The sequence below is a fragment of the Homo sapiens genome, chromosome 1 (genome assembly GCF_000001405.40).
Source record: "Homo sapiens chromosome 1, GRCh38.p14 Primary Assembly".
Lineage (NCBI taxonomy): Eukaryota > Metazoa > Chordata > Mammalia > Primates > Hominidae > Homo > Homo sapiens.
Window position 1 is genome coordinate 173,784,303 of NC_000001.11, and position 7,585 is coordinate 173,791,887.

Sequence of the window (7,585 nt, forward strand, 5' to 3'; positions counted from 1 at the left end):
AGGTAATGGCAGCTTTGGGCCTCTCACTGGCAGGATATTTTCTTCCATATACAGCTTTCTATTTTTACTAGGAATTTTGATTAAGCATAATTTCTGAAGACAGCCAAATTTACTGTCACTTAATCACTATAATCTTATCTGAGGACTTGTTTCTTAGTAACTGTCACTAAATAGAATTAGTAATAGATGACAAAGTAATAGTCATGAAATTATTGAGGATCATCTGTTGAAAGATTAATAACTAAATATTTGCAGTTACATATCCAAGACTTAAAAACCAACTCTACCTCATAGCTGATAAGGGTCTAGTATTCTTCTCCATGGAAAGTCCTTAATTTTGAAGATGATCTTGTCACAAACTAGATGCTGACTTTACTCAAATCTGGTTTTGTTCTATAAAGGACTTGAAGAGGCTTACAGAGTACATATAAGACAAAGGGATAAAAATAAATAATTGAAGAATTTTAGGCAAAGGGAAAACATAGGTGGGACAATAATATAGCCAGGGGCAAAATTTTGAAAATGTAGAATATATAATTCTGTGTAACCGTTAGAAGTCAGTGAGGTATACAGTTGTAAAGTTCTGATGCCAAACGTGAATATGATGCTCTCTTATTCTTCACACAGCCTCCTATGAGTGAGAGCATGTCAGTCAATCTCTGAAACAGTCCTGCTACTCAACAGTGCTCAATTGCAGCTTCTAATCTTTAGAATGAAGACAATATTAGTGTGAAGCTGAAAATATTAGTTGTAATATAAAACATAGAAACGTGTTAATAACATCTTAGTCGTAGTTAATAACATCTTAGTTGTAACATATTTTCCAGTTAGAAAATATGATTATGTTTCTTTCTTTGCAGGTTATATGGCGGGATGAATTACCGTCGGCTAGGGGGTGGCGTAGGAGTTATTAAAATGACACATTGTGAATCCCATATTTGGTGAACACAGAGAAGACAGTCTTGTATATATTCCTCTGTATTCTGGGGAGCTTTGACCTTGGAGCTTTGTACAGCTTGAGAAAACATTAGAACAAATTTTATTATTTGCCGGTGCCTCAACAAATGGAAATACAATCCAATGAAAGTACTTCACCTGCAAGATGCACAATAATTTTCAACTCTGTGCAGAAGAATATTTATTTTTGGTTTTAATTTATCATGGTTTTTTGTTGTTTTCGTTTTGAACTTATCCTTCCTCCCACAAAAAAAGAAAAGAAGAAAAAATTCCAAGCAGCAAAACTTACTTTGTTTGTAAGGTATTCATTTAGGTTTGAAAATACTATTTAATAAGGGCAGAAGGGCTATATATGATTTGGCTATTATTTCTAGACACTCCATCCACATGATTCCACTAACAAGGATTACCAGGAATAAAGGTAGGTATGCAAAATGTATTAGCTACCCATTATTCTCGCACTAACCACCAGAAGACTTGAAAATCTTAAAAAAAAAAAACAAAAAAACAAGAAAAGGCAACATCTCATTTTAAATAGTACAATTCAGAAGGGATACTAAATCAATAAAAACCAGGACTCAGACACTACAGTTTTCATCAGTGTAATTTTATGTCTTGTTTCTTTCTATATGAACTTGTTTATTTAGTCTTTTTTTCATAATATTCTCATAGAGTTTCTGCTAGATCTAGAGCTCTGCTCAGTGCCTCTTATAAAAACAATATATAAGTCTCATATGCTGTCTTGAGAATCCAAGAGAATCACATGCAGCTCTGCAACAGTTTTTGCTCAAAAATGTTACTGACTAAAGCAACTGTCCTTCCTGTTTCCTTATTGCTACCAAGGACCAGCAGGGAGAAATGTCTTCTCCCAGCAGTGAATTCTGTTATGCAATTTATTCTTGATGCTCAGGCCTGGTTAAGCTGAGGCTTACCTTTAATAACAGCCTCCAAGGGAATGAATTATTCAGTTAATGTAATAGCACACATTAAAGAGTGTAAAATCAATTGAGGCATTTTATTAATATCTTGGTTCTTTTATACAAACAATGTATCATTATCTTCATTCTATAAGGTCATTGTTACTACTTCTCTCAAATTGCACTTTCTGGTAAAAAGTTAAAAATTTTTAAGGAAAAAATAATTTCAATGGTTAAAGTTTTTTTTCCTCATTGTATTCATAGACAAATTTTTTTCAATATATTTTGCAAGAAAAATCTTTGAATAAGACTAACTGCATTTAAAAGGAATAACCTCCTTCTCCCTTTCCCCAACTACAAAAATGTTTGGCAACTTTGTGTTTACATTTAAAGATCATTTGCACCTTTTTCAAGGAAAAAAAGTATTGAGTAAACAATTGTTTACATATATCATTTATGCTTTTTTCTAGCATGTATAACTTTTTTAAATAAAGGTAGTATTTACCATTAAAAAAATTTTAGCTAATGCTTTTTATCCTTGTACTTTTGTTATTTAATTTGGAATTTCTGTTTCTATATAATTTATTTTATCTGTATGTAAAGTTACAAGTGCTTTCAACTTGAATAAAAGGATTGCCAGCTAGAATTAATAGGAATTTTCATTATATATTTTTATATGTTATATTACCTAACCTATAAACTTATTTTCTAGGTAGGACTTAGACTCATACAATTTTGAGCTGGAAGGACTCTTTAACAATCATCTAGTCCAAACCCACTTATTACACTGATCCAAGTCTGAAAACCACAAAGTCTGCCTAAGAATAAATAGTCAATTAATGATAGAACCAACATTAGAAATCAGCTTCCTCAATTCCCAGTCCATTCCTCTTTCTATGCCACACTGCCACTATAGGTTTACCTGAAACTAAATATAATAAAAGACCTTAAGTATTTTAATTAAGTCTGGTATTAACATGTAAAAAGTATAAAAACTTTTATGAGATCCTCACTGTAGTACATCATTAACAATCAGTCTTCAAGACAAAATCATGTATTTCCCAAGACTCTACTACTTCATACATCTGAGGCAAAAGAGAGTGATGATAGCATTATCACTGATAGCAAGAACAAAACTAGGGATTAGACTCTCCATTAGTCAGGAAGTCCCCAGTGGGAGCAATTCACAGGGCATTGATTCAAGAGTAGAGACCCAGGAATTAACAGCACTGGCCAGTCTTCATTGGAGCCTGTTAGGGGTTTGTTTTTCCCCCTCCACTGAAGGCACTCCAGTTTTATTATTGATTGAAATGTATTGTATTAAAGGTGTTGCTGTAAAATAGAATGTTTATTAATTTGTGTGCATAGTTTTTTCCACAACTCAAGTTTGGAATGGGGGTTGGATTGGCAGTCATTTTCATTTCATAAATAAGTCCACTGAAGCTTAGAAAAGTTAAAATGACATGGTAGGAGCTGAACCTTAAATCTATAGCCCCTGATTGTAAATCCTTTGTGCTCTATACACATTCCCCCATTCCTGTTTTTGATTGCTTCCCAGCTTTGTTCCATGTTTTACCTCCAGATATTCACACTGCAGATAATACTTCTTGACCACTGTGTAAAAGGGGTCTTTCCTGAACAAGATGTGACGGAGTAGGGGACGAACCTTTCAAACTTTATGTTAACTGAGGAAACAGATGGGCAAAGAAAAAAATGCAAGAAGGAAAGAAATACAGAAGAGGAGAGAAAGAAGCAGCAGGAGGCAAAAATGACCCACTAAACCTGAGTATGTCTGCCCAATTGTGAGAAATGGCTCTGTAAATTGCTTTGAGGGCCCTGCTGGAAATGACTGAAAAGAATGGTCCCAAGAAATGACAAAACTCTTCAACTAAGTTGTCTTACATGTCCTTAATATTGATCTTTCAATTATTTAGCTGTGTAAGGTTAGGAACTTAGATTATTTTAAATGTAAAAAAGAAAGGATGGTTATTCACTGAACTATCATAAAATATTTGGGATTATTCCAATAACAGTAACCTACTAATACCCCTATCCTAGAAAGACTGTTTAAGCCTGAATTCCTAGGAAAAAAGGACACATATCTTCAGGGTGAATTTAGATCAGTGAACCCTTGGACTTCTAAACAGGAACAGCCCCTGCTTTCAAAAAGCTTAGTTTTAAGCCTTTTTCATCAAGCCTCTGTATGAGTGGTTCTCAAAGTATGGTCTGTGGACCCCTGAGGTCTCCAGTATCTTTCTTTCTTTCTTTTTTCTTTTTTTTTTTTTTTTTGAGACGGAGTTTCGCTCTTGTTGCCCAGGCTTGCGTGCAATGGTGCGATCTCGGCTCACCGCAACCTCCGCCTCCCAGATTCAAGCGATTCTCCTGCCTCAGCCTCCCGAGTAGCTGGGATTACAGGCATGTGCCACCAGGCCCAGCTAATTTTTTTGTATTTTTAGTAGAGACGGGGTTTCGCCATGTTGGTCAGGCTGGTCTCAAACTCCAGACCTCAGGTGATCCGCCCGCCTTGGCCTCCCAAGTGCTGGGATTACAGGCGTGAGCCACTGCACCGCACCCAGCCAAGTCCCCAATATCTTTCTAAGTATCCATGAGTCGAAACTATTTTTTTTTTTTCTTTGAGACATTGTCTCCCTCTGTCGCCTAGGCTGGAGCGCAGTGGCGCGATCTCGGCTCACTGCAAGCTCCGCCTCCTGGGTTCAGGCCATTCTCCTGCCTCAGCCTCCCCAGTAGCTGGGACTACTAGCGCCTGCCACCACGCCCGGCTAATTTTTTTTTTTTTATTTTTAGTAGAGACGGGGTTTCACCGTGTTAGCCAGGATGGTCTCGATCTCCTGACCTCGTGATCTGCCCGCCTTGGCCTCCCAAAGTGCTGGGATTACAGGCGTGAGCCACCGCGCCCGGCTGAAACTATTTTCTTAGTAAAACTAAGTTTTCTGCCTTTTATACTGTAGTAGCATTTGTGCTAATGGTGCAAAAGCTATGGTGGGTAATACTGCCGGTGTCTTAGCATAAATCAAGGCATAAATCAAAGCATAAATCAAATTGTACAACTAGACATAGTATTCACCACCATAGACTTGCAGGACTTTTTGTTGTTGTTGTTGTTTTTACATGTTTTTGTTTTTGAGACAGAGTCTCGCTCTGTCACCCAGGCTGGAGTGCAGTGGTGAGATCTCTGCTCACTGCAGCCTCCACCTCCTGGGTTCAGGCGATTCTCCAACCTCAGCCTCCCAAGTAGCTGGGAATACAGGCGCCCACTAGCACCCCCGGCTAATTTTTTTATTTTTCATAGAGACGAGGTTTTGCCATGCTGGCCAGGCTTGTCTGGAACTCCTAACCTCAAGTGATACGCCCACCTTGGCCTCCCAAAGTGCTGGGATTACAGGCATGAGCCACCGTGCCTGGCCTGGAGTTTTGTAAATTTGCTTAAGCATGCCCTTGATGAAGCAACAAAAATTATTAGTTTACTAAATCTCAACCTGTGGACATATGTCTTTTTCAATATTTTATGACAAAATGGGAAGTATACATAAAACACTGCTGCAAACCAAAATACAGTGGTCATCCCAAGAAAATCTTCTGAGATTGTTTTAAGATGCAAGCTGAACTACCTACTTTTTGAAAGAATGATGGACACAGAAATTAAGGTCATTCAGACTGGGGTGTTGAGCAGACATTTTCTCTCAAATGAACAAAATGAGGCTACCATTTCAAGGAACACAACCGACAGTACTTATTGTCAACCATATTCAAGAGAAAAATTACAATTTTGAGAAAGCTGTGTCGACTATGAACTTGACAGCTACTTAAAAACTTTTATGATGAAATTGCTGATGACATTGATGAATGCCTTTTTAATTGTATAGTGAAGTGTGTCAACATGTGGAAGATCTGCATAATTCATGGAATCAGTTTTTCTAAATGATTAATGCACAGGTTAAGATGTATCCAAAGCAGAAGATAGACCAACAGATCTAATGGGAACAATATGAAAGGTCTATTGATATGGTTTTAGATTTCAGCAGTCACTTGTCAAGTTTTGATGTAATATCAAGAAGAATATCCATAATTATCAGAAAAGCTATTAAAATCCTCCTCCCCCTTCCAATTTCATATTTGTGTAAGCCATATTTTCTTGACATACTTCAACCAAAATAACATTGCAAAAGATTGAATGCAGAAGCAGGTAAGAACTCAATTGCCTTCTAATATAGCCAGATATTGAAGAATCATACAAAAATGTAATTTTTTTGCTTTTGAAATAAAAAAATTTGTTTTAAAAATGATAGTCTGGGCCAGGCACGGTGGCTGATGTCTGTAATCCCAGCACCTTGGGAGGCCAAGGTGGGCAGATGTACTTGAGGTCAGGAGTTTGAGACCAGCCTGGCCAAAATGGCAAAACCCTGTCTCTACTAAATATACAAAAATTAGCTGGGCGTGGTGGTGCACGCCTGTTAGCTCCTTGGGAAGCTGAGGCAGAAGAATCCCTTGAACCTGGGACACGGAGGCTGCAGTGAGACGAAATCATGCCACTGCACTCCAACCTGGGTGACAGAGTGAGACTCAGTCTCAAAAAAAAAAAAAAAGCACATAAATAGGTTTATTTTTGATGCACTAATTTTTTTAAATTTCTCAATTTTAATTTCTAATATGGTAAATCACTAGATGTAATGCATGTAAACAGAAGCTCTTTGTGTCCTCAAGTTTTTGAGACTTTAAAGGGATCTCAAGGCAAAAATGTTTGAGAACTGCTGCTCTAAATCTTCCAGTTTACAGGAAATACAAAGGAACAGAGGAATGTGTTAACTTCATAGCAATTCAATGAGCAGAGTTCAAAAGTGCGAAACTTTACAAGACAAATAACTTTGCTTCTCCAAAAATTGAATTGCAAGGAAAGAAAGTGGAGAGGGAGAAACTGACAGAGTAAAAGGAATTTAAGACTCATATCATCAGCCTAGAGCGGTGGCTCATACCTATTAATAAAATCCCCCAGCACTTTGAGAGGGCAAGGCGGGAGAATCGCTTTAACCCAGGAATTCAAGACCAATTTAGGCAAATAAGAGAGACCGTCTTTACAAAAAACTACATATATATATAAAATTTATATATATAAAATATAAAATGTATATACTATATAATTATATATTAAAATTATATATTATATATAAATTATGTTATATATAAATTTTAATTATATATATATATATATAAAAGCTGGGTGTGTTGGCACATGCCTCTGGTCCCAGATACTTGGGAGATTGAGGTGGGAGGATTACTTGGGCCAGTGCATGATCACACCACTGCACTACAGCCTCATTGACAGAGCAAGACCCTGTCTCGAAAAAAGCCAGCCAGATATGAGGGCGATCTGACTGTGACATCTGTCACTCTATTGATCGCCAGGGTTGATTCGGCTGATCTGGCTAGCTAGGCAGGAGTCCCCTTCCTCCCTCACCACTCCATGTGCTTCCCTCTTGAAGCTGTGCACACTCAGTGGAAGAGGACAGCCATCCCCAATAGAGGAAGGCCAGTCTGCAGTCAAGGGTATACAAGTAGCTGCATTCCCCTACTAGAACCTCCAAACAAGCTCTCAAGGTTCATTTGTAAGAGAACGTAGGGTTCTTTGAAGTCAAGCTTCCAAGACTCCAGACACATCCAAGTGAGTTGCTGCATGTGGCAGTCTGCCTTTCTTT

General features: G+C 37.6%; 1 protein-coding gene and 1 pseudogene across 6 annotated transcripts in view; both read left to right on the plus strand.

The window, feature by feature from the left end:
• KLHL20 (kelch like family member 20) overlaps positions 1-2,390 on the plus strand; it is a 71,712-nt gene extending 69,322 nt beyond the window's left edge. For all 6 annotated transcript variants that reach the window (XM_017001052.2, XM_017001053.2, XM_005245093.5 and 3 more), the window contains one exon: positions 861-2,390. In XM_017001052.2, the coding sequence (XP_016856541.1) occupies positions 861-945 (85 nt within the window). In that variant the 3' untranslated portion in view covers positions 946-2,390. The remainder of the gene's footprint in view (positions 1-860) is intronic.
• Positions 7,247-7,585, plus strand: RN7SKP160 (RN7SK pseudogene 160; annotated as a pseudogene).